The 26408-nt window shown below is 44.8% G+C and overlaps 1 protein-coding gene across 22 annotated transcripts in view, besides 1 other annotated feature; it reads right to left on the bottom strand.

The window, feature by feature from the left end:
- The window catches only part of ASAP2 (ArfGAP with SH3 domain, ankyrin repeat and PH domain 2), a 198867-nt gene that overhangs the window by 43203 nt on the left and 129256 nt on the right, over positions 1 to 26408 (bottom strand). For all 22 annotated transcript variants that reach the window (XM_011510403.4, XM_011510407.3, XM_011510404.3 and 19 more), the window contains 6 exons: positions 17841 to 17944; positions 17676 to 17745; positions 11581 to 11668; positions 6381 to 6429; positions 6131 to 6297; positions 3587 to 3720 (listed from right to left, as the gene is read on the bottom strand). In XM_011510403.4, coding sequence (XP_011508705.1) covers positions 3587 to 3720; positions 6131 to 6297; positions 6381 to 6429; positions 11581 to 11668; positions 17676 to 17745; positions 17841 to 17944 — 612 coding nt within the window. The remainder of the gene's footprint in view (positions 1 to 3586; positions 3721 to 6130; positions 6298 to 6380; positions 6430 to 11580; positions 11669 to 17675; positions 17746 to 17840; positions 17945 to 26408) is intronic.
- Positions 5423 to 6622: an enhancer, noted in NCBI's record as "BRD4-independent group 4 enhancer chr2:9495983-9497182 (GRCh37/hg19 assembly coordinates)". NCBI's record gives its function as "activates an origin of replication core promoter dependent on BRD2, P300/CBP, MED14 and CDK7 cofactors, and independent of BRD4, by STARR-seq in HCT116 cells {active_cell/tissue: HCT116}" and the evidence as "EXISTENCE:reporter gene assay evidence [ECO:0000049][PMID:35650434]".

Below are 26408 nucleotides of genomic sequence, written 5' to 3'. Positions count from 1 at the left end.
ACACCCAATGTATACAACATACTAAAACATCATGTTGTACACTATAAATACATGCAATAAAAAATTAATTAAAAAAATAAAATCCTTTGCTGTCACAGCATGTCACCCTGAAACAGAGGCTGTTCTATTTACCCAAAAGAGGAGAGATGCTACTCCTGTGAGAGAACCTGTCCAGGCTGCACCCACCACTCTCCTTTCACAAGGCACCAAGGGGCCTAATGAACACTCACTATACAATAAAACATACTTCAATAAGCAAGTCAGCCGAGGCCCTGCATGGCATGCAACTCTGAATTGGAAAGGTTCGTAAGAACAGACAACCAGACAGACCATGCATGGCCTCCCTGGGGGTTCACATGCTAGCACATGGGGACCATTTTTCTGAAAGGATTTTGTTAAAGGAGATAACAATGATAACTAATACTTTATGGTTCTTAACGGTGTGTCAGACATAATTCTAAATACACACACACACACACACACACACACACACACACACACGCAGAGAAAGAGATAAGATAAAGAGGTAAAAAGACTTCAGGAAATCCTTCATCCCAGTACCTGATTGTCTAAGCAAAATAAAACAATCTGGATACTTTTAAAAGGCTTGAGGCCAAGCGCAGTGGCTCACACCTGTAATCCCAGCATTTTGGGAGGCCAAAGCAGGAGGATCACTTGGGTCCAGGAGTTCGAGACCAGCCTGGACATGGCGAAAGACCATCTCTACCAAAAATGCAAAACTTAGCCAGGCGTGGTAGCACTTGCCTGTAGTCTCAGCTACTGAGGAGGCTGAGGTGGGAGGATTGCTTGAACCCAGGAGGCAGAGGTTGCAGTGAGCTAAGATTGTGCTACTGGACTCCAGCCTGGGTCATGGAGTGAGACCCTGTCAAAAAAAGAAAAGGAAAAGGAAAAGAAAAGAAAGGAAGGAAAGAAAGAAAGAAAAAAGAAAAGAAAAGAAAGAAAGAAGCCTTGAAATTTCCAAGCTTTGCCAATGAATACTAACACCTGACACCCTACGTACTGCTTAACTGAAGGGCTAAGGAATAAGGTTTAGAGCCACGACACCATGACCACACTCCTAGCATACAAAAAATGGATTGGGGGAGCCGTGGGGAGATGTCCACCTCCTGTGAACCACAGAGGACCAGCCAGAGCTCAGGGAAAGCAGGGTTGAAGGGAGTAAATCCTACACAATTCACTGCTGTCTCTACTTTTCCTGATAACCACTGAGGAAAAAAGACTTGGGTAAGGGAGAGTTTAAAACTCTGGAAGCAATTAGATTTTGAAAATATCTGCAGACATTGATTAAGCAGGCACTGGCTGATTTCTCATTGTGGGTGACAGCCAACCAAACTTTAAACTCCTACAAGAATGCAGATGGAGGCTCTGGGAGACAGAAATGGAGAATTTAACCAGGCATTAGAAGTCACCTCATCGTTTCATCAAGACAGAACAACATATTCCTTTCACCTTTCTTTGGCATTTTCTTCTTTAGTAGGCAACTCAGTCTCATGAAGAACATGAAATTTCTGAGACACATTTAAAAAATTATAACAGATGGTGGGGTCGGGCTCCTACCAGCTCATATGAGTCAACTGTTAAAATTTCAGGAATTTTGCAAGCCAACTGTTAAGCACTGCTACTATTAAAAATTATGCTATATAAACTCATAATTATGTTACATTAATAACAAGTATATACTCAAAACTCATCACTTCCTAATTATACTGCATTTTACTATTGTCCATGTTCATGAAGTTATTTACATCCACTGTGTTTGCATAGTGAATGTACTATATAATGAACATCTTTTTCCAACTTCACATTGAGTAATTCACTTAGGTAGCTTGAAATTGGCCATTGTGGGAGTATTTACACCATGAGAACAGGCAGGTTGCAAACCAGGGTTCTTTTTTCTCCAGAGTTGACTGTTAAACATTTGTTGGGGACGGTGATAGGGAAGGACAGTAGAGATGTTTAAATGTTTATCATCTAGCAAGACAACCCACTAAAATGCCAATTTGTGTCCCAGGCTCGTCAAAGGTTTAAGTGTGAGGTCTGGTATCAGATTAAAGAGGCCCACACCCCAGATCTGTCACCTTAAAAGCTTCATAACCCTAGGCATACTGAAACATTCTAAGCCTCAGTTTCCTCCTCTGTAAAATGGGGATAATATACCAAGGTCATCAGGTTGTTACTGGAGATCAAATGAGCCTAGTATATATAAAGTGGCCTGCAAAATACATAGTACAAAATAAACAATTATTACATCATCTTGAATCACTTAACACTTTCCATTGTTTTAAGAAAATCAGTAAAAGAAACAACTGCCATAGTTCACCAGTGTTTACTGAAAAGTACTTTGTGCTTCTTTGAAAATGTACCATGACAACCTCCAATCTATGCCATCATCAGTTATCCAAGAGATACCACATGTACACCTGTGCACCTCTCTAAGCTGTAGGTTACGTGCATTATTACATGAACAATAATTGCTGTATGTAACCAGGAAGGCACTGTTTGGAGTTCCTTAGTTTTACATTTTAAGTGAGTCTAGCTTAGTTTTAAACTGTAAGTAACTAAGGATGTTACTAACTAGGCTGCCAGGATCCACTGTAGTTTCTCCCAACTCTGTCTTTCAAGACCATAAAGGAATTCCTAGAAAGACTGGAAAGGTTTGACAAGAGAGTTCAAAATGCATTCGAAGTTCAGACACACTGGATTCGAAGTCATCAATAAGACTGATGGCCCCTTGAGAGGAACATGGTCCACAACTATTGATTTTCTGTCAAGACTATTGCTCTTGACGTTAAATTCCCTACATGTAAACTTTTAAATTCAACATTAAAATCAATGCCAATCACTATCTACTTACTGTTTACTGTCAACATCCAGCTATCCCAGGAGAGAATTCAAGAACTGCTTTCTAGGGAAGACAGTCATGAAAGCTCATGTATTAGGTGGCCAGAAGCACCCTGTCTGATGGACCTTGTGGGACTACAGTCTCGATACTCTTGAAAGCCACTTCACAGAAAATGCTTCTGTCTCCTCCTATCTCTATCACATGGCTTAAGTGTTACCACTGAACCAAGAATGAAAGACTTAAGAAACAAAGGCAGTAAAAATGAAGACCAATATCTCCCCCCATGGGGGACAATCTGGGGTAGGGAGAAGTCGGAGGCTTGAGGCAAGTTGTCACCACAGCCTTGTCAGAAATCGCTGGTGATAAGGGAAAACAAGTACTTTCCTGTCTTTAGACGTTGCATTCCACATCTGTCTAATGGATGGGGTGAGCTGGTCTATGTCACCATCTTACTCCATTTCTGTAGAATCTCACACCACTCTCAATGCTCCTGTTTTGGTTTCACTCCCCTTTATTCATTTAAGAATAAAGTTTTGCAACAAGAAGTGCCCTCAACCACAAGTAGCTAAAAATGAAGAATTATCAATGAGTTTCTAATTATCCAAACCAATCTGGCAACATATCAACAACCACTAGCTTACCAAAATGGATTAGAATGCCAAAAGTAAAATTTAGCTTACAGCTCATTTGTTTCCAATCTGAAATCAAGGATTTAAAAATTACCAGCAGCTCAGATGTTCCCAGTACATCTAAGGTCAGGGACTGCATCCTGGAATAATGAACCCCCAGCTCTCGGTGGATTCCGGAACACTCGATGCAGGTCAGGATGCCCAGGTTGGTGGAAAGCCATGTAGGATCTGCCAAAGAGAACAGGGCAGATTTGAGCTTCCAGTAAAAAAGAGGGTCAGGAGTCACATCTTTCTTCCTGCATAGTTACTGAACAAGCAGTTCTGAGCATGAGCATTTTCTGATCCTTAACACAGCTGGAAACTTTGTCCATAATTACCACCAATTTACATGCAATACCCAAATATGCACACATCTACTCTCCCTCTTCTTCCCTCTCTCTCCATCTCCCCATCCTTCCATTCATGTGACAGGTGCTGTGTGTGCAAAAATAAACAGGACACACTCCAGTGACCAAGGGCTCCTCAATGGCTGGTGGTGAAAACACACCATGCCCATCACCAACTTGGTCACACTAGCAGAATGGAGCAAGAGGAAAACAATGAGACCAGCCAAAGTCTACTTGTAAAAGGGGAATAGGCTTAAAACATATGCATCTACAGATGCTGATAATAACAGAGAACGTACTATGTACATAAGATATGCTGTGTTCAGCATGCTGGTAGTAGCAATAACAGTTTGTGTTGTTAAGAGCTTCAGCAATCACAGAGCACTTTTGTATCAAATCTAAGAGTTCCATGAGATGACCAGGGCAGGGATTTTTATCTCACTATATGGCAGAGACAGCTTTGCGATGCTCAGGCTCGAGGTCGCCAGGGAGTGCAGAGCAGACTGTGGCCCTGCCTCTACCTGAGTTCAAAGCCACGTTTTCCCCTCACAGCTCGGCTACTCACTAACATGACCTACCATACATTTAGCAGATGATAGGGACCCACAAAATGCTTGACAGATGAATGTGGAATTTGCTAAAAATGGGAAATTAAAAATAAGATGTCCTTGAGTACATCATCACAACCCATAAATACAATTCTCTTCAGAACTGTTTGTTGCCCTGAGAAACTCACGGCAGGTAAATATCGCAACTTTAGTCAGTAGGAAATCATGAAGTTATTTTTTAAATGTTCAAGTTATTAAAAATGTTATCCATGTTGGAAAACCTTCTTGGCGTCTGTGTCTGCACTTGTGTAGGACGACTCCACTGTATTTGTGCTTTGCGGAGGTACAAGCATCCATTTAGGTGACTCTACATCATTTTTATATTACCCACACTGTCTTGGCATTTTAAAATAATGAGTACATACCTTTGAGTTCTTTATCAAAGCGTATGAAACACCCAAATCATAGACTGTCTTTACCCTTTCTCAAGAAAGACCATGATTCACTACTTATCACCCCCTACCTCATCTCCTGCCAAAAACGTATTTTCGGGTTTTTTGTTTGTTTGTTTTAAATACAGTCTCGTTCTGTTGCCCAGGCTGGAGTGCAGTGGCGTGATCTCAGCTCACTGCAACCTCTGCCACCTGGATTCGAGTGATTCTCCTGCCTCAGCCTCCTATGTAGCTGGGACTACATGTGCGCACTACCACGCCGGGCTAATTATGGTATTTTTAATAGAGACGAGTTTTCACCATGTTGGCCAGGCTGGTCTTGAACTCCTGACCTCAAGTGATCCGCCCGCCTCAGTCTTCCAAAGTGCCGGGATTACAGGCATGAGTCACTGCACCCAGTCGGTATTCTTTTTTTTTTTTTAATGGATCCAAGGCCAAATACAGTCTTCAGGGTCATGGGAACCTAAAGGTAATTCTCAACTGTCCACTCTTATTTTGGTTGTGTTTGGTTTTTTAAGAAAAATTGTCATAGAATTAGAGGAATGAAAAGGGGATTAACCATTCTAGCCAAGCCTCCATCTTTTTCATTTTATAAATGTTCAGAAAATGCACCTGTGTAGTCCCCGACCCCCACTCCCCACCATTGTGTCTCAATTAGAATAAGCAAATTCCTTAAATCACATCCTACTATAAAGCCCCTAATATGCTTTATCAAAATGTAAAAATAAAATCTTATTTCACAGAATGTGTCAGCTGAAAGGGTCCTGTCCCTTCACTTTACAGACAGGAAAATCGATGTTTAACAAAGCAAGTGGCTCTCCCAGGGTCACAGAGCCAGACAGCGGCTTAAAGCTACTTCAGAAGTTCTGCAAAGTAGGATAAAGGGAGAAGAGAGCAGATTCCAAGCAAGGAAGCCCATCCACATGCAGCCTCTCAGCCCACATGACCTTGAGTTCACTCTCACTGTACCCTTCAGTTTTCATTTCTCAAAAAGCATTTCAAACTTTGCAGCTCTGTCAAACCCTCTTTACTCAGTCCTGCTCTGGGGCCCGGCAGGCAAACATCTTCCCGCCCCTCTCCCCTGCCGCGGTCTGCACAGTTCATTAAGCATTTGTGTAATGGGATGAACTCAGGCTGAGCTGCACTTAATTTCGTGTTTGAAATGAAAGTGAAAATCAATGAACGGATTCTGTGAATCAGAATGGGATTGAAATGTCCTAGAGCCCAGGGTCGGGTGGGGTCCCTGGGTCACCTGGCGCCCCACAGTCACAGCAGACGTCATTGCCCGTCATCCTCTGCACTTCTGAGATGATCTCCTTTGTCAGTTCTTGGACGATGTTATTTTCTCCAGTATTGTCATCCCCCTTAAATGCATTGTTTAAAGCTTCTTCTTTGCTATTTTGCAGCACAGACATCCATCTAGAAAAACAAGAGCAACGCTGTGTTAAATTCCACAAACAACGGCTGAGTCCAGCCCAAAGTCCCACCACCATGTAACTTACATTTGACATTCCTGTTCATCTTCAGCTTGAAAGTGGTAAGTTCTGTCATCTGCATAGCAAGAGGAATTTCAACTGTGAGCCCAGACAGCAATCCATACACAATTCCAAAAGAAAATAGTTTCTAATTAGCCTCTGGAATAATCTTAGCTCTCTGTTACGAAATTACTGATTTGTATAAAATCAGGCACTCCCTCATATCCTCCAAATGTCTGCCTTCACCAACGGTGGCATTCTAATGCAAAATAAACCTGCCCTTTCCCTCATTCAAGTTTTAAAAGACGCCGCTTCTAAAAACTGAAGCTATTCAATGAAAACCATCACTATCCTCTCAATAGCTTCATTTTAACTCACTACAGAGTTGGCCCCCAAAAAGTAATTGTTCAAGCCCTTTGAATAATAAAAACCTTTTTTAAAAAGAATATCTTAGAAGTTTTCTGGCTTTCTCAGAAAAAGATTAGTATGAGAAATTCTAAGAATAATATGCTTTGAGAATCAAATACTAGAAATGTAGCTAAATCAAGAGGAGTGTGTTAAATAATGGTCGAATATAAAATCCTACACTTACATACTGCTGGTGTCAGCACAGTTTTACAAGTGTTTTGCCAGGCTGTGGACCTGTGTGTGTGTGCAGCAGGGAGGCGGCTGTGTGGGATGTGGCAGCATCATTCTGTGCTGCTCTTGCCAAAAACATATAACCTCAATCCACTCATGAGAAAACACTAGAGAAATCCAAATTAAGGGGAGTCTGACCAAAAAACAGGTCAATACTCTTTAAGAAGGCATCATGAAAAACAAGTGAGACTACAGAACCGATACAGACTGCAAGAGACCAGGATAAAATCACAACTAAATGTAACATGGGGTTCTGGATAGAATTCTGGAACAGAAAAAAGGACATTTGGGGGAAAACTGGTAAAATCTGAGTAAGATTTTTAGTTAATAGCATCAAACCAATGTTTCCTGGTTTTGATAACTACATAAATATGATTGGATAACATGTACCACGGACTACTGGATAACTGTATTAAGATGTTAACAGAAGGGAAAGCTAGGGGAGGGATATATGGATATTCTCTGTCTAAAAGCAGTCTAAAACCAAAGCAAAAAATAAAATTATATTTAATAAAGAAAAGCAGGGGCAGGGGAATCCAGCTTTTGCAGATGGCAGAATGATGACAAGTACCAATTCTCTTCTTAGGGAAACACAACGAACATCTGTGCTCCTAAAAGTGAGTGGACACGCCACCTCTCTGTAGTGGTGTTTACTCCTGAAAGCACGTTGGTTCTTAGAACAACTCTTGGTAAGTGACTGGGTGAGGGCTGAAGCCTAGAGAGGCTAAGCTGCAAAAAACAAGCATAGCCAGCAGCAGAACTTGGTTCCTGGACTTCTGGCCCGACCACTTTCTACAACACCATGGCATCTTTTTCTTTTTCTTTTTTTTTTTTTTTTGAGACGGAGTCTCACTCTGCTGCCCAGGTTGGAGTGGAGTGGTGCAAACGTGCAGTGCACAGCTCGCTGCAGCCTCAATCTCCCAGGCTCAAGCGATCTTCCCACCTCAGCCTCCCAAAGTACTGAGATGACAGGCGTGGGCCACCGCACCTGGCCAATTTCTGCATTCTGACGTGTAAAAACTGCACAAGCAGGAGGCAAACCTCTGAGGAAAAACTTCAAGCAAGAATCCCCTCCACTACACTCTCTTTAAAGATGCTACAAATAAGCGGACGGCTTCCAGAGCTTCAGCCGTGAGGGAGAAGAGCAGGAGGAGACAGAGGGGGCGATCGGAGCACTCAGGTGCTGGTGGCCAGTGAAGGGCAGCTTGTGGCCAGGGCTCTGGCTCTACTGGCCGCTAACCTGCCATGTGGACCTGGAAGGTCATTGACTCCCTCTGGCTCCATCCTACTCAGGGGACTCACTTGGGTCACCTCACAATTCTACTGTTCCTTCCATCCCTCCCAGGGTGCCTATGGGGTTCGCGGATAATGGCTCAGGACTTGAATTTGCTATGAGTGGGGTCGGTCTGCAGGCAATGGATTAGATGAGCTCCCAGAAGGGCCGGCCTTGCCACAGAACCATCCTCCTAGAAAAGCCCATGCTCATTTACATCTTTTTCTTTTTTTAAAGAGACAAGGTCTCCCTCTATTACCCAGGCTACAGTGCAGTGGCACAATCACAGCTCACTGCAGCCTCAAACTCCTGGACTCAAGTGATCCCCCCACCTCAGCCTCCCAAGTAGCTTGGACTATAGGTGTGAGCCACTGCCCCTGGCCCCAATTCCACCTTCATGAGAATGGGAAGCCCCTGTTTAGGAGCAAGGATGGTAAAGGAACATCTTGTAGGAAGTAACTGCAACCAGCCAGCCAGTCTATTGCTCTTCTGAGTTCTCTGGGCAGATTCCAAGATGAACTGACCAGATGAGGAAGAGGAGGAATGGGTGACCATGGAGTGCCTGGCAGATGCACACAGAAAATATCACCCTCACTGCCTCAATGCATGTGCCTCCACTTGACTTCCCCAACTGCCCAAATGTCTTTTTTTTTTTTTAGACAGTCTTGCTGTGTTGTCCAAGCTGGAGTGCAATGGCACGAACACAACTCACTGCAACCTCAACCTCCTGAACTCAAGCGATCCTCCCATCTCAGCTCCCTGAGTAGCTGGGACCAAAGGCACATGTCACCATACTGCACTATTTTTAAATTTTTTGTAGGTCTTGCTATGTTGCCCAGTCTGGTCTCGAACTCCTGACCTCAAGCAATCCTCCCACCTTGGCCTCCCAAAGTGCTTGCATTACAGGCATGAGCCACTGCCTGGCCCACCCAGGCAGTTCAAAAGCATCTTGAGAGTTCAAAAGCATCTTGGTGATACTCATCCCATGAGGCTGGTGAGGAAGTAGAGGAGGAATCTGAGAGGGGTGAAGACAGATGCTCCTCAATCAGCCAGAATCAGGTCTTGACCCCATGTCCCTCACCTTCTCAGGATGTTCATCAAATCACGGCTTATACTGCAGCCAGGTTTCCTGTGATGACTCTCTGGGGTATCTGGCCAGTTTTCAACCCAAACCCACATACCCCTGCACAAACCATTTTCACTACAGATACTCATAGGAAGGCACCTTTTGAAAACTCACTGAGGATGAAGAATTTGCAGGACTGGAATTCATTTTACCCACTGGAAGACAAGCAGGGAAGGAGGAGGGATGAGAGCTCTTTTCAAAGATGACAATGGACTCTAGCAAACTCACGACACTGCCCCCAACTGGGCTCAGCAAACCTGTCTGGGCATCACAGGCTACAAGTCCTTCCTGAAGATGTTTCAATGCATCAGGCTGCAGCAAAGACACTGGCAGGATCTTGGTAAATATCAGTTGGCCACAGAGCTTGTGTGTGGCCAGATTCACAGAGGACTGCATTCCCACACGTGTAAGGGCTGCAGTAACTCACACCCAGAAGGGAGGCATGCACACTTGCCGTCTACTGATCCTCCCTGCTGCCTGCTGTGTTGTAAAAAGGTGGAGGCTGGGAATACATTGGAGCAAGTGCTTCTGCACATATGGCATCTAGCAGGGTCTCCCTGTGGAGCATGCTGGAGGGGCCTAGGGCAGTTGAGGGAAGAAGTCCCTACACCCACCTCCAGGTGATAGGTTCACTATTATTGCTTATGAGTTAAGGATGGGCATTTTAACGCATGGCTTCTTGTGTGTTACTAGTTCAGAAAACAGAAAGGCCTAAAACCCTGAGTTAGCCCCAGCCACTGGCAGACATCAGATTACACCATCAGGTTTTCTGAAACTCTTCAATTCAAGCCTTTTTTGCTAGCTAGACACAGGTATCCCAGCAGTGGTGTGTGTGTTTGTGTGTGTGTGTGTGTGTGTGTGTGTGTGTGTGTTTGTGTGTGTTTTAAAGAGTTAGGGTCTTGCTATGTTACCAAGGCTGGACGTCTACTCCTGAGCTTGGGTGATCCTCCTACCTCAGCCTCCCGAGTAGCTGGGACTACAGGATCACACCACCACACCTGGCTTGCAATCACATTTTAAACTCTGGCCAGTACTCAGCATTTTATAACATCTTGTATGAATGAAAGGCAAGCTTTGATGAGAATCTGTGGACCTTACTAGACTGAGTCAGGATGGGTGTTTGACACAGGATAAAGTCCATTTTATTTTACAAATCAGTCTAGAGTCTGAAGAACAGAATAAATGGTACTGGAACCCTCTGCACATATCACAGTGCTCAACCCTCCCCAGAGATTCACACAGAGGGTATGAGAAGGGGAACAGGGAGGATAAGAGCAAGCCATTGTGGGTGAGGTGGAGTGATAATTACCCGCAGTTTGCTGGGAGCGCTGAATCACATAACAAGTGACTTCCTAGCCCTCAATAATACAGGTCAACTGACATTTGAAAAGGTAGCCATCTCCCACTCAGGGGTACTGAGGCACAGAGAACAGCACCGCCTTCCTACAGTACACAGTCCGGCGTGGTCCTCTGCAAATGTAACTCTTGCACCCAAATCCCTAGTGACTGCCTCTTCAAAGGGGAGACTGGCCCTTTCTTCCCCTAGACTCTAACCCTGCCACACAGAACTACCTAGGAAAAAAGGTTTATCTTATTTTCTTTTAGACATCATGGGCCCTTTAATTTAGGGGGTGCTGAGTAAACATTCACCACAATGGATGGTTCTGTGGGGATTCTTTTGTGAACGCCACAAAAAGGAAAAGCACAGAGAAGCAGAAAGACTATTCCTGTGGTGAGGAAGAAAAACAATTTCAAACACTGAAGTTTCAAGGGACCTGTTGAAGACCCTCATTTTAGCATTTCTAACATCACCCAAATTATGTAAGTTCTTGAAAACAGAATTGTCCTCCTTCTCTCTTTTTCAAGTGAAGGAGTTTTAGGCTTGTGGGCTTCTCTTGTAGGATCTCCCTATTTAGGAACAGGAATGCTGAGGCTCAGAGAGCCAGGTAATGTCTCAGGACTACAGTGCCCCCAAGGAGCAGGGCCAGCCCTCAAAGTCAAACTCTCAACTAGAAAGGCTGGCAAGCCAGCAGTTACTAATGGAACACAAAGCACGCATATCACTAGAAAAAGGGTATGTCTCTTCAAAAACCAATTCTTCCGAATGCAGTGTTTGAAATGTGAAGGACGCCCCAGAGGAGAGCATAAGACAACGTCTCTATGGCGCGGCATCTCAGAGGGAGCCTTACGTGAAATGAGGTCAAAGCACTTCTTCTCCTCAGGGTTGGTCTTCACCTGGCAGGTTAGCAGGTTGAGCTTTGCAGGAGGCCGGTTAGCCTGTTTAAAAGCAAAAAACAACAAAAAAGGTTGGGGTTGGGTGGAAGGAATGGAAAATCATACAGTATCAATCCTCACGAGATACAGCAACAGCAAGCTCTTCACTAGTTTGCAAAGGTGGCCTTCAGACTTGACAGAGGAAGGCTTGACTGGGACAAGTTACAGAGGCCTTTGAACTTCATCTCCACAGAGGGCAACTGCCTCCCTGCAAGGGCACCTTGGTGGTCTACACAAACCCACCTGGACAAGAGGACAAGCGATGCCAGCTTTGAGGCTGCTGGCAGTGGGTGCCTTCAGATCAAGATATTGCATGGCTAAGCCCAAAACATTCAGTTCTGATTCCTACCGACAACACAGTTGATTTGCCAGGTAACTTGGGCACCCAGCTCAATTTCTGGTGATCTTAAAAGCGTTTTTTCTTAGCATAAACCTCACTTCCAGTGAAGGTAATTTCACAGTACAAAAATGGCAGAGAAATTATTTTCCTACTGTTTGAAGTGGTGACAGATAACAGACTCACATTCCTAAATGCCAACCATCACTGTCACTTAAGTTTCAACAAAACATACTTCATTCACATCTGTAACCCCCAAACCCTCTCCCCCACACACGACACCAAGCGATCACAACATACTTTCATCAGAGGTGTATGAAAAATGGCTATTTTATTACAGTTTCAAAAAAAAGATCATACTTAGTCCAAGAAAGCAAAGGACTGAGGGTAAGAAGATAATTTCAGAAACAAAAATTTCGAACAGCAGAATACCTCTTAGAAATCTTGGAGGAATATCCAAATGGGAGTGGGCTTATCTTACCCACCTACCAAGCTGCTAAAGGAAAGATCAAATAAGAATGTCTTAAACTTCCATCGTTCTTGGGCCCCACTTCCCTTGGCCACCGGTCACTTCAAGATGAAAAAAACCTGAATTTGGGATTAATCCAGATACATACACATATGCATCTACACCTGGACAGACCTGTGAAACCCTCAAGCACTTACAGGCCCAGCAGCTTCCTTCCAGTAAGTCTACAGAGTTAGGGTGGGAGAGTTGAACCCATCCTTGCAGCGTGAAGGATTTGGGTTAATAAATGTAAGTTTGGACTAGTGAAAGTCAGATAAAGTCAGATAAACAGGGTTGTACTAGACTCTCCTGGTTCGTGGCTGTGTTGGTCTTTTCCTCTACAGGTTAGTCAGATATTCTCCATAATCTGTAGATATCTCAGAGAATTCCTGGATCGTCAGAAATCAGTATTAGAAGATACCAAGCTCTGCCTAATCTTGTAAATCTGGACACTTTCAAGTGAAAGCACCACTGATCGTGGATTGTTACCAATCGGATTACCTAACTTATCCAGGAACCAATACAGCAAATGATCTATTTCTAGAAACATGGTTACAAAACATGTATGCAACCAAGTACTTTAACACGGGTGTACACCCACCCATACGTAGCCTGTGTCTATTCTGTTACCTCCCTGTGATGACACAACTGTACACGTGCAAATTTTAGGGCTACTTCCAAATTGTGGGGTCTTAGATATAGGAATAACTCCTATATCTAAGGTTTGTGTGCTTTGATAAATACAGAAGCACCTTCATGGACAAAATAATGACTTTGAATAACAATAGCTACATTTACTCAGCTATTTTTATTATATACCTATACAAGGCAGGCACTGTTCTAAACATTTTTCATGAAATAATTCATTTAATTTTCCTAACTGCCCTTTGAGGTAGGAACTACACCAATTTTGTAGCTAAAGACACTGGCCCGGACAGACCAAATAATCTGGTTGAGGTTATACAGCTAGGGAGCGGGGAAGCTAGGATTCCAACAAGTCAGGCTGGCTCCAGGGCTCGGGGCTCAACTGCCACCCTCCCTGTCCTCGACGTGGGTATCCATGGAAGGCGGTTGCTTGCCTGGACTTATCTTTAAGAGCAGCAAAGAACCACAACTTAAATTACTACAACTCATTCTCCCTCCCCACCTCCACCTTGCAGTCTTCCTTTTTCCCTGTGATACGGGGAAAGGTGTTCGTTCTTAACTACTATCAAAGATAGATTTCTCACTTCGCAGCATACCACAAAATAGAGAAAAATATTCAGCACCTTTGTTTGAAGTAGGAATAATTTATGAAGACATAAATGTGCCTACATATTAAAAAATGACAACCATAAGAATGGGTCCACAAAACACACAAGTTGATCTTAAGCAATATCACCAGCAGTTCTGTTTTACATTAATAACTGTTTGCTATTCAGGTTAAATATTAAGTACATAGATTAAGTATTAGCAAACAGTAAAGCTATTAGAAAAATTTATGGGAGAAAATTCTATCCATTAAAATCCTTCCCTGTTGCAATTTGGAAAAATACAGTGTCACCTGGGCGCAGTAGCTCACGCCTGTAATCCCAGCACTTTGGGAGGCTGAGGCAGGTAGATCACCTGAGATCAGGAGTTCCAGATCAGCCTGACCTGGCTGATTTAGTAGAGATTTTTAGTCTCTACTAAAAATACAAAAATTAGCTGGGCATGGTGGCATGCACCTGCAGTCCCAGCTACTTGGGAGGCTGAGGCAGGAGAACTGCTTGAACCCAGGAGGCAGAGGTCACAGTGAGCCATCCAGCCTGGGCAACACAGCGAGACTCCGTCTCAAAAAGAAAAAAACAAACAAACAAACAAACAAACAGACAAAAAAGTGTCATCAGTTAATTGAGATACAGAACGGTTTCATCTAATTCACAAAATACCAGTATTTTCTTGAGAATTTAATTTGAGAAGCCCTAGTTTAGTAGAAAACTTGGGAAGGAATGGTAAAAAAAAGATGCAACAGCTTTAGAGTTTGCCATGCAGGCAGAGATTATCAGTGATTCTCCATTCTAATCGTGCCGTTCTATTTTTTCCCGATTTGTCAGGCTTTTAGAAGGAAGGTGTTTTCTTCTTTCTTCATGACTGATCATTTTTTAAAATTTTAGATTGTGTAAGAGCCAGTGGACATTCCTTCCAGTGTAACACAGTCCCCAGCCCTCAGTGGTGTGGCAATCCTGCGAATCTGGCAAAGAGGATATCTAATTAGAGTTATTTTGTCTCAAGGATCACTTCTTCCTAGGGCCAGAAAACAGACTTGGCTAAGAAGGAAATTCAACTCGGGCTTTGAACGAATCTCCCGGATGTTATCCTCAATCCTCTGCTCCAATCAGAATACAACAACTTCATTTCCCAGAGGCTGCCAGCTTCCTGGGAAGGGTTTTCCTACCAGTGTAAATACACCCTGTGTGCTTCCATTTCTTAAAGACCTGCTTCGCAGCTATGTGCCAGGCTCTGCTCTTAGACTTCCACTTAATCAAGTCTTTGGAAATGTGCCCTTTTTTCCTGACTGTAAACGAGCACACTCAGGAGCTGCTGGCCAAACAGGTGAGCTGCACAAGAAATCAAGTCAAAACCAAACCAAACCAAAAGGGCATCTCTCAATTCTCTTTCTTGGTATGGGTGAACTCACTTCCCCACATGCAACCTCTCTGTAGACGCAGTCATACAGAGGGGTCCTCTGGATTCTGACTTCCAGAGCACGCAGGGAAATAGGGAAAAGGTGAGAAAAGGAACACTCAGCCACTGAACGGAGGGCTGGAAAACTACTTTATTTTTCTGCATGGCAGCGAGGAAGTGAATCAAGACAGCCCCACCTACCACCCCTGCAGGATGTAGGCGGCGATGGCTGCTAAAGGCAGGAGGAGACCTCTGGAAGTGGAGATTCCCTGGAGAGGGTTTTCCCCTCCAAACACAAAGCACCTATTAAATATGCACACGCTGTGTGACAAGCTGAGTTCTCAGCATCCCAGTAATGCCGGTTATAACCGTACTATCTGCCAAAAACTGGGGCAACCCATCCAAATTTAAAGACAACTAAGCCTCCACATCTTTTGAGAGGAAGCTCAAGCTATGGAAGTGACTCGAAGTGAAGTTTATGCTGTCAGCAAAGGATTACCAGACCTGTTTTCCAGCTGCCATGGAAAGAGCCACTCACTGGCTTAAGCTGAGGCCTGGATCTAGGGGAACTCTCAATGAAGCAAATATGCCCCTTGACTTCAGAGCTGTAAAAGCATGAACTAGAACTTAGTTGTATGACAGTTTCTGCACTGAGGCAGTCAATCGGAGTTCAAACAAACAGCGAGTGGACACCAATTCGAAAGCAAACCACAGAACCACAGGTGTTGAGATCTGGAAGGTATTTAGAAGGGTGCCTAGTCTCATCTAATCTAACATTCCTAATATTAAAGACAGTGATAGCTGGATAAATTTGCTTCCCTTGGTCTACAGAACTCATACCCTCACATCCACGCATGGAAAGAATGGCTTTTTTTTTTTTTTTTGAGATGGAGTCTTGCTCTGTCTCCCAGGCTGGAGTGCAGTGGCGTGATATCGGCTCACCACAAACTCTGCCTCCTGCGTTTAAGCAATTCTCCTGCCTCAAGCAATTCTCTCCTCCCAAGTTGCTGGGATACAGGCATGCACCACCATGCCTGGCTAATTTTTGCATTTTTAGTAAAGACAGGATTTTTGCCATGTTGGCCAGGCTGGCCTCGAACCTGACCTCAGCTGATCTGCCCGCCTCGGCCTCCCTAAGCGCTAGGATTACAGGCTTGAGCCACTGCACCTGCCCATAATGTCCCATTAAGATCCATACTGCATGGCCCTGGGGTCGCGGGGGCAGGGGGAGTACGGTGGTGATCACATGACCAGTGAAAGCTGGGTTTTGAAAATAGAAAATGACCTTCATTTCCAAGTTCAGAGACACATTCAAACCCCTAGACCAGAGGTCACCGAGAATCCCTCCACTGGGTATATACTATTCTAGCTCCTCTCTCCCTTTCTAAATCGAAGTTGGCAAAAACAAAGGCACCCCCAGAGGAACACAATCCTTGCTGCTGTGACATGCTTCGGCTGGGGTTTTACTCTATTCCCTTATGAACCTCAGGGCCGTTTCTCTGGACCCCATGTTGAGTGATGACATTTCTATAGGGGCCAGAAAAGCCCCTCTGAGCTCCTGCCCAGCTCTGCCTTCACCAGGGACTGGAGGGACAAGGGGCAGGAAAGACGGTTACTATCATCCACTCACACGCCCAAGGCTGCTGGCTTGCATGCACTACTAGGCCTCTGCTTGGGGAATGGGAATGCAAACAACCCTCAGCATCTCTCTAGCAACAAAAAGGCAACGACCTCGGCCTTGAGATGTTACCAAAGCTGTCTACCAGCCCATGTGGTTATCACCAGCTCTAGTCATGCCAGGTGAGGCAATAGTATGTATAACGCTGCCATGGAAAGAACAGTGTGGTGTGCAGGGCTGTGTCTGTGATCCAAGTTCCTGGCCTCTGAAAGCTAGATTGGTAAGGAACTTTATCCTGACCGGCTTTTCATAAGCTCAACATAGAGGGCTCCGTTTTTTCTTGCATAGACTCTGATAAACAGGATGATGGAAAGAGGCCTTAAAGTTGGGCACCATATGTTAAGATTTCAATAATAAAATCACTGAGATGTCTTTTCTCATGGATTTCTGGTCCCCAGAGTCCTGCCCATTTTTTTCTCTTAATGGAAAAGTAGAAATCTTCCTAAGTGAGATGTTTGATTTCCAGAGACAAAGAGAGCTGGGGGAGCAGTTTGCTGTTCTGTGCTTTCTGGAGTCACAGGCTTCTAAATAAAGACAACCTGGCTTATCAGTTACTCCTGACTCTGCTAGGGAGTGGAAGATAACAAGGACAAGACTCCATCTGGCTAAAATAAAAAATAAAAATTAAAATTAAAATTAAAAAAAAAAAAACATAAACAGGCTGCAGGTGCACCAAATCAAGACGGAGGCCAGCAAGCGTTTCTGACAGGGAAATTCTCTAAGACACATCCTTAATACCATCACACACGGAGAACAACTCCTGCCCTCTAACTTCAGAAAGTCCTCCAACACCAACCTCACCTAATACAGCAGACACCATGGATTAAAAGAGAATACTTACGGTACCATGGGATATGGTCAGAAAACCATTTTTAACTGAACATTTCCTTTTCTGCCACACTTTTCGGATCCTTGTGGATAAGTGGGAGAAACAATAAGAGTTTAGACATTTTGGACACAAGATAACGAACGTACATTTAAACTCTAGCCACACCCCCTCACGTACCCGTCACTCTTCTTGTAGAGGCTGCCGTTCCGCTCGGTCCCATGTTCCTTGTTTCCCTGAGGCTGATGTAAGCTATAAGCTGTGCTCTGACGAATTTGGGAGTCCTAAAAAATGGTGAAGAGTGTGTTTTTAATCTTGTCCAGGTCCTAATTTTTAGAAAAGCAGTACACAAAGGAAACTTATGCCTAATGTGTTTTTTTTTTAACAACAACAAAAATTGGAGAAATTTCCCTTTCTCAACACAGCAAAAAAGGGACATCAGATTCTGCTCTAGGAACTGATAAATGCCATCTATCAGGCTGGAGAAGGAAATGTCAGGAAACCAATATTCCCAAACTGGCTGAAGGAATGAGCCCTGGAAGTTTCCAGGTTTTATTTCATTACGAGCCTTAACCCCCTGACAGTGACATGAGGCTCCCACTACGGCCACAGTAGCCCTCGAGGAGGGAGGTGATGCAGTGAGTGGAAAGGCAGGGGTTTCCAAGCAAAACGACAAAACCAGCTTTCTGTCCCTTACTACAGAACCATCACATAAGCTCTCAGCCTCAGTTCCCTTCTTGGGCAATAAGAAAAGAATACCCAGTAAGGCCAATAAACAGTAAGGACTCAATAGGATCACACATGTGAACATCAACAAGTATTGCAAAAATCTTCACTTCCTCCCTCCACCAATCTTGAGTAAGGGGGGTCTGACCCTGACCAAGGGAGCTTAATCATAGGTAAACCATCCACATGGTCAGCTGAGAATCTGATTGAATCTACCACAGTTGGGAAATTCCAGCCTATCAGCTTCTTAGGGTAAGCGAGGACTAGCAATGAACACCCAGGGCCCAAGTCCAGTGTCTGGCATCCAACAGGTGGCTCAACTGGTGTTTAACAAATGATATCAGGCTGGGCGCAGTGGCTTATGCCTGTAATCCCAACATCTGGGGAGACCAAGGTGGGCGGATGGCTTGAGCCCAGGAGTTCAAGACCAGCTTAGGCAACATAGCAAGACCTCGTTTCTACAAAAAATACAAAAATTAGCTAGGTATGGTGGCAGGCGCTGGTAGTCCCAGGTATGCGGGAGGCTGAAGCAGGAGGACTGCTTGAGCCTGGGAGATCGAGGTTGCAGTGAGTCATGATAGCACCACTGCACTCCAACCTCAGTGACAGAGCGAGACCTTGTCTCAAAAAAACAAAAACCAAACAAAACAAACAGTAGCAGACACTCTGAGTTGAGAGTAGGAGGCCACCAGTGCCAGTGCAGGAAATTCTATTTCCCTGAGACTTAAAGGAAACGAGAGGGGAGCAAGATGTGAACCAAGTGTTCACAGGTCAACCAGGAAAGGGCCGAGGGCTGCTCGTAGGTGTTTAATGAGAACGCCTATCCAGTTCATTCCATAATGGGAGAAACAGGGACACAATGAAAATAAGTGGTTTGCTCCAGGTGCAGAGCTCCTTAAAGCAAGAGCAGAGAGTGGAATGGAATCCTGCCTTCCACTCTGAGGCTCCTTCCATTACACCATCTTCTTTCCCCACAGAACATCCTCAGAGTCTAGGGCCACTCTCATCATTGCCACTGAGCAGCTCACCATCCTTGGAGAACGAAGCACATCCCCAAACGATGAAAGAACTAACGCAGGAAAATCAGTGTGATGGAAGCTGAGAACAAGAGCACTCAGGAACTGAAGAGTCAAAGGGAGAAAAGCACAGGAAAAAGCGAGTTTTAAACATGAAGGCAAGAACTGGCACAGAATCAGGGTAGGATCTTCAAGGCAAAGTGGATAGTACACAGAAGACACAGGGAGGTCACGGTCACGTGGTCAGCACCCAGGGAAGCTAGACAAATACTGCATCTGAGGCAGTAAGGCCCAGGGGTGGACAAGACGGGCTGGAGTCAGAGTTTCGACTGCATCCCAAGGCACAGGCAGCCTCTTGGATTTCTGAGTTTGAAAAAAGATTCTGAAGCACAAAACTTTTTAATTTTAATGAAGTCCCATTTACCTACTGTTTCATTTGTCACTTGTACTGTAAGGGTGCTATCTAAGAAACTATTGCCTAATCCAAGGTCATGAAGATTTATACTTATAAATCTCTTCCAAGAGGTTTATAGTCTCAGCTCTCATTTAGCTCTTTGACTCATTTTGAATTAATTGTGATTATGGTGTGAGGTAAGGGACCAAGTTCCTTCTTTGCTTGTGGCTATCCAGCTGCCCCAGCACAATTTGTTGAAAAGACTACTCCTTCTCCATTGCCTTGGCACCCTTGTTAAAAATAAATCATCTCTAAATGTAAGGATTTATTTCTGGACTCTCAGCTCTATTTCATTGGTCTATATGTCTCTCCTTATGCCAGTACCACACTGTCTTGATTATTACAGCTTTGTGGTAAGTTCAGAAATCAGGAAATGTGAATCCTCCAACTTTGTTCTTCTTTTTCAGGATTGTTTTGACGATTCTGGGTCCTTTGCGTTTCCACATGAACTTCAGGATCAGCTTGTCAATTTCTGCACAAAGGCAGCTGGGATTTCTGATGGGGACTGCACTGAATGTGTAGATCAATTAGGGGAGTACTGTTATCTTCACAATAAGTCTTCCAACCCATGCACATGAGTGTCTAGCACTGACTTTTTAAACTCTGCCAAAAAAGAAAAACCAAAAAACTCCACGTGAGCAATCAGTAACATGCGGAGGCACTCTCCATTACTGAACTGACAACCAACCCTGAAACAAGCAGAGCCCAGGAGGGGAGAAATGAACTCATTTCCACAGAAAGTTCACACAGCACTTGAGCCTCTGGATAAACTAGGGCACACACGCATTCATGGGATGAGGATGGTCCCAGCTTCCACATTTTCTCAGAAGGGCGGAACATCGGCACCAAAATTTAGAGCAAATCCAGCTTTCAACGTTGCTGAGAACAATGCTGTGGAAGGAATGTGGAGAAATACTGCTCACCTGTACAGCGTCTCTGTGAAAGACTAAAAATAAACCTGTCAGGAGACTCAACTGCACAACCAAGAAATACGTCTATTGATTTGGGGGAGAAAAAAAGCCCTGCACAAAGTAAGTGGTGAAATCATGTGACAACACCGCTAACACTGTTCGTGCCGCGCATATTAATCAGAGCGATTTTCAGGTCTCACGAACAGGATAAGGGACATTCTTCTCAACAGAATCAGACCCTATGCCAGAAGGTGACAATGAAATCACCCTGTTTTATTCTTTTCTTTAGGCCAATTGAAGCATGCAGGCAAATCTGAATTAAGCTGGCCTATTAAACTTCACATTTGTAAAAAAGAGGAATATAATCTGTTTAACATAAAATTGAAACTGTTTTAGTGCGAATTACTTCAGTATCCTCTAGGTGACTCCCAGGCGACCCCGTAACAATAGCCTTTGTTAGCCTGTACAAAACGCCTGACCAGGTGAAGGCCTGACAGAGAAAACCGGCCCTTTCACATGACCAAGGTTCTGACTTTTAGAATACTATGCAAGGAAAAAGAACCTCTCCTTCTGGAGAGAAGAATAACATAAAAAGTAAGAGAGGCCAGGGCGGTCCATGTTGCCCCAATTCCTGGAGACTCCAATGTACTCTCCACTTTCCTAAGAGAGACGAAGACAACCTAAACTCGACTGACAAAGCCTCAACGTGCAGGGACTGTTTGTGTGCCTGAGTATGCAGGGTAGGTGGGCACTTGGTGGAACCTCAAAAGGCTTTCATGAAATTCTATCAGTGTCCAACATCCTCTGTCCTGTGACACCCAGACAAGTTCTCAGAGCTCAGGCATCATCCTTGATCTTAACTTTTCTGTGGCCCTATGAAGTATTAGCCATTGGGTCTGGCCAACACAGAATCTGCCCAGATGACCAGTAGAATCCTTGAGCTGTCTAAGACTCTAAAGACTCTAGGATAGCTTAAAAACTGACATTTTGCCCACTTCTTAGAAAGTCAGTGTCCAGACAATTCCTGTGATTGACAAGCTTGTCGAGGAGTCATTTTTGGAAGCTTAAAATTTCTCTGCCCAGGAGGGCTGTGATGTCCAATTCATTCCCCCATCTTCTGAAGATATGACAGGTATGTCCACCCACATGGGCACAACTGGGAGCTGGAAGCCTTGCTGAGCCAAGCACTGAGCCATGGTCTAAGAACAATGCTTTCAAATATCGTTACCACCTATTCTCCATTATTTAAGGGTAATTTTTAAAAGACTCCGGAGAACCAGTTTGACATGGAATAGATCAGGGTCAAATCCTGGCTCTGATGCCACTGTGTGAGCCCAGCAAGGGCACTTATCCTCTCTCTCTCACAGAATAAAGTTGCAGACATGGCTGGCCGGGCGCGGTGGCTCATGCCTGTAATCCCAGCACTTTGGGAGGCGGAGGCGGGCAGATCACGAGGTCAGGAGCTCGAGACCAGCCTGGCCAACATGGTGAAACCCCGTCTCTACTAAAACTACAAAAATTAGCCAGGCGTGGTGGCGCGTACCTGTAATCCCAGCTAATTGGGAGGCTGAGACAGAAGAATCACTTGAACCCAGGAGGCAGAGGTTACAGTGAGCCAAGATTGCACCACTGCACTCCAGCCTAGACGACAGAGGGAGATTCTGTCTCAAACAAACAAACAAAAAGCTGCAGACATGGGCAAACATTGCCTACCCTGTAAAGTGGCTTGTAAGGATCGTTGGCCACACTTGTAAAGTGCCTGGAAAACCTGAAAAGTGAGGTAAACAGGAAATGCCCTGCAATGGATAGGAACAGGTCCCTCCTCCCCTAGAGTGAATGTGGAATGTGACGCAGGCTGGACACAGAGAGGTGGGTGAGAGGCAGGTGAGGCTGGAAGGCCTGGGTCAGGAGTAAGAGGAGAAGCCTAGAGCTGGGTATGACAGCATCTTGAGTCAGATAGTGAAGAAGGAAGAGGGGCAAGAGCCATGAAGACATAGGGCCAGAGGACGGACCAACAAGGAGGCTAAGGGATATGTCACACACAACGACAGCAGCAGTATCCATTCCTGTTGAACCTCTAAGAGCGCGACACCATGAGGGAAGGGAATTTGGTCACTACGGTATCTTTACCACCTAGGAGCTCAGTATTTGTTGAATGAACTATTAAGATAGTTTATTAATATTTATTAAGATTATTAATAAATAATTTTACTATTATTAAGATAATATGGTAAGTGCTCTACAGAAATTATCTCTTAGATCTCCTGAAAACTCTGAGGTTGGCTGTATTATTCCTATTTGACAGACGGGGAGACCATGACATGGAGAGGTCCAGGAACCTGCCCAGTGTCACAGGGCAGGGTAGGAAGTGGGAGACCCAGGATTCAAATGCCAAGATCCATGCTCTTCTGCTCTGCTAGACAGCTCCCCAGGCAACCCCGTCCTAGTCAGAAGCTGTCCTCTCCACCAGCCTCACCTGCTGGGACTCTGCTAACTCCTGCCCCGTCCCCAGTTTTTTGTTTTTGTTTTGGAGATGAGGTCATGCTCTGCTGCCCAGGCTGGAGTGCAGCAGTGCGATTTTGGCTCACTGCAACCTCCACCTCCCAGGCTCAAGGGATCCTCTCACCTCAGCCTCCCGGGTAGCTGGGACTACACGTGCATGTCACTACAACTGGCCAATTTTTTTGACTTTTGGTAGAGATGGAATCTCACTATGTTGGCCAGGATGGTCTTGAACTCCTGGACTCAAGCAATCCACCTGCCTTGGCCTCCCAAAGTGCTGGGACTATAGCTGTGAGCCACCATGCCTGGCCTGCCAACTCCTAATCATCCTTCTAAGCTCCATCCCAGGTATCACAGCCTTTGGGAAGTCATCCCTGATGGCACCTGCCCAGCCCGCACTGGGCAGACACTGCTTCCTGGAGCTGATGTCCACGAGTGCTCTCATTACACTGCACCCCAATTGCTTCTCTGTCCCCACCCCCAGAGCATGATCCCCTGAAGAGATGATAACCTGATCCATCTTGTTCTGTTGTGTTTGTGGAGTGCTGGCTTAGGGTAACAGTGGAAGAAAGGGTAGCTGGATGTGTGAATCAACAAACGAGTCCTCCACTGAGGGTGACATGGAGGCCAGAGCCAGGCTACCTAGCAGCTTGGCAGGAGAGGCAGGCAGGTGGCCCCTGGCAGAGATCTCTGTGATGAAGGCCAGATTTGGGCATGTAAGATACGCGAACCCAGAGGCAGAAGAAAATTATGGCTGTGGTGGACCTTGGCTGCCTGGGTGGCACAAACTGTTCTATCACATCCTACTAGACAGGATGCTTGAAAAAGAGGGAGCAAGAGAAAGAGAGAGAGAGAGAGATAGAGACAGACAGAGAGAGATAGACAGACACAGACAGACAGAGAGAGAGAGAGAGAGCAACCATACTTGAGATCTGCAGAGTGGAAAACCATGGTGGTTTCAGCACTCAGACCTGTGAGACCATGCCCCAGAGCCTGATCCTCCCCATAGAAGCACACAAGTCTGGGTTCTCCACATCAAACAGCAGAGAGAGCCTGCACACAAGTGATGAGGCTTTGGGACTCCGCCAGCACCCCAACAGGGTCCATCCTGGCAGAACACCATCGGATGGACGACGTGGGATGGGGAAGGCAGGAGGCGAGGCTGACGGGGAGAGAGCTCAACCAAAGATGAGCAGTGCCAACGAGTTTAACTGTGTAAATAGGATCTTCTCCAAAAATCAAACACTATGGTACATAGTTCGATCCTCATTGTATAATATTGCACTATGGGTGGTCACTGCACAATTTTTCAACTTTTCTCCAAGTATGAAAACCTTCACAAAGAAAAATAATGGAAATACCAAAGAGTAGTATTCTCCTTACAGAGAGCAGAAAATATCAAGAACAAAACATGAATGGCCAGTGATTGGGAGGTGTGAGGTCACCGGGACCAGAACGGCACAAGCTCCACACTAAAACAAAGCTGCAGGGTCACAAGGAAACAGCAGCACGAAGCTACCACACTGGAATGGCCACTCTTCATTCCTTCAATAACTGATGCTTGGGATTTACAGGAAGAGAATGAGGAGCACTGGCTTCTACCAACCATCAAGGCAGTTTCTTTGGGGCATGTTACTTAATTTCTATCAACTGTTATTACACAGGGAGGGTTAGAATTTTTATAACACTGAATAAAAATCCTCTTAACACCTTCAGTTGTCTAAGTCACAGAAGAAAATCCAACCAAAGGGAATGACGGCCTAAACAATAATGACCAAATGATCAATTCTTATTGCAAATTTGAGGTATACAAGATGGAACCCCCATCATAAAAATCATTTTAAAACAGAAAATTTAGCATTTTCACATCTGCTTATTACTTGCAACTGTGTTCAAAGATTGTCCAACTTGCTGAATGCCATCACCTAAAAGCAACGCAGAGCATGATACACAGAAAACACAACACGCCCACAACTAGGAGACTGTTGAGTTAGGTCTTGACAAGGAGCCAACTGGGCAGACAGCCAAAGAAGAATAGTAAAGGAGGTTCATTTGATCCCTCTGTGCAATCAGGGGCAGATGGGCTGGTTAACAAAAAACAACAAACTATAAAGAACTTCTGGTCTGTGCTGGTAAATTTGTTATTACTTTCCTGCGAAGCTGTAAATAACCAGTTCTCTCACAACAGCCCGTTTTCCCAAACCTCCTAATTCTGCACAGGCAAAGCAAACACAGCCTTTGCACTGTGCCCAGAGGGCCATTTGGCCCCAGCAGCTGCTCTGCCTTATTTTAAACCTGAGCTTTGCTTCATGGGTTGGATCTTCCTTCTTAGACAAAGGCAGTTCTCGATCATTTCCAACGGTGCGCTGGGGAGCAGCCACCTTGGACGGCATTCTGGCTCCTGCCCTCGCACTACCTCCTCCTCGTTACCGCTAGCCCACTATTTTCTCCTTACGCCAAGTTTTTTTTCCTTTTTTTGCTTATTGGGAATATCAAAGCGTCAGGGCCTACATTCTCTAGACTAGGAGGAAGTCACCATGTTGTAGGTCCTTTCTAGCACTAAATATAACCTTGCTCTGCCAGTGTCTCACTTAGTTGACCCATGTTTACCAAAATCCTACTAAATGAGCGCTGTGGCACTACAGTGTGATGGAAGAATGGCTCAGAAGGCAGGGTGGCATCCTCAGGCTGCTCGAGGTCCAGCTGGTGAAAAGCCATCTGTGCACTTAAGGCACAACCAACACTCAAAAAGAGGAATAGGCTGTGATTCAAATGGGGCATTCAAACAGGATGTGCTCTGTGAACTCAGATCACTGTGGGCTGGGGTGATCAGAGGCAGCGCTCCAGAGGTGGGGCTTCAGAGGGACTAGAGAGATGTGTAGAATTCAGCCACTCAGGGGAGAGAAAGGGAGGGAGGGAGGGACCTGCTTCATCTTCATAAAGGAACAGCAGCAAAAGTGTAAACTGTAAACCCAGAAAATGTCCACTTCCCTAATATTTATGCAAACTCTTCAGCCTTTAATAAAGTCTACAACAATGAAAGGTGAGGGGTTAAAATAAAAAATGCTACTAACCATTAATATATAAAAGGAATATATATATGTATGTTCACGAATAAAACATGCAAAATTCTGCAATT

The sequence above is a fragment of the Homo sapiens genome, chromosome 2 (genome assembly GCF_000001405.40).
Source record: "Homo sapiens chromosome 2, GRCh38.p14 Primary Assembly".
Classification (NCBI taxonomy): Eukaryota; Metazoa; Chordata; class Mammalia; order Primates; family Hominidae; genus Homo; species Homo sapiens.
The sequence above is the reverse complement of the archived record's forward strand: the minus strand, read 5'-3'. Positions and strand labels throughout refer to the sequence as shown.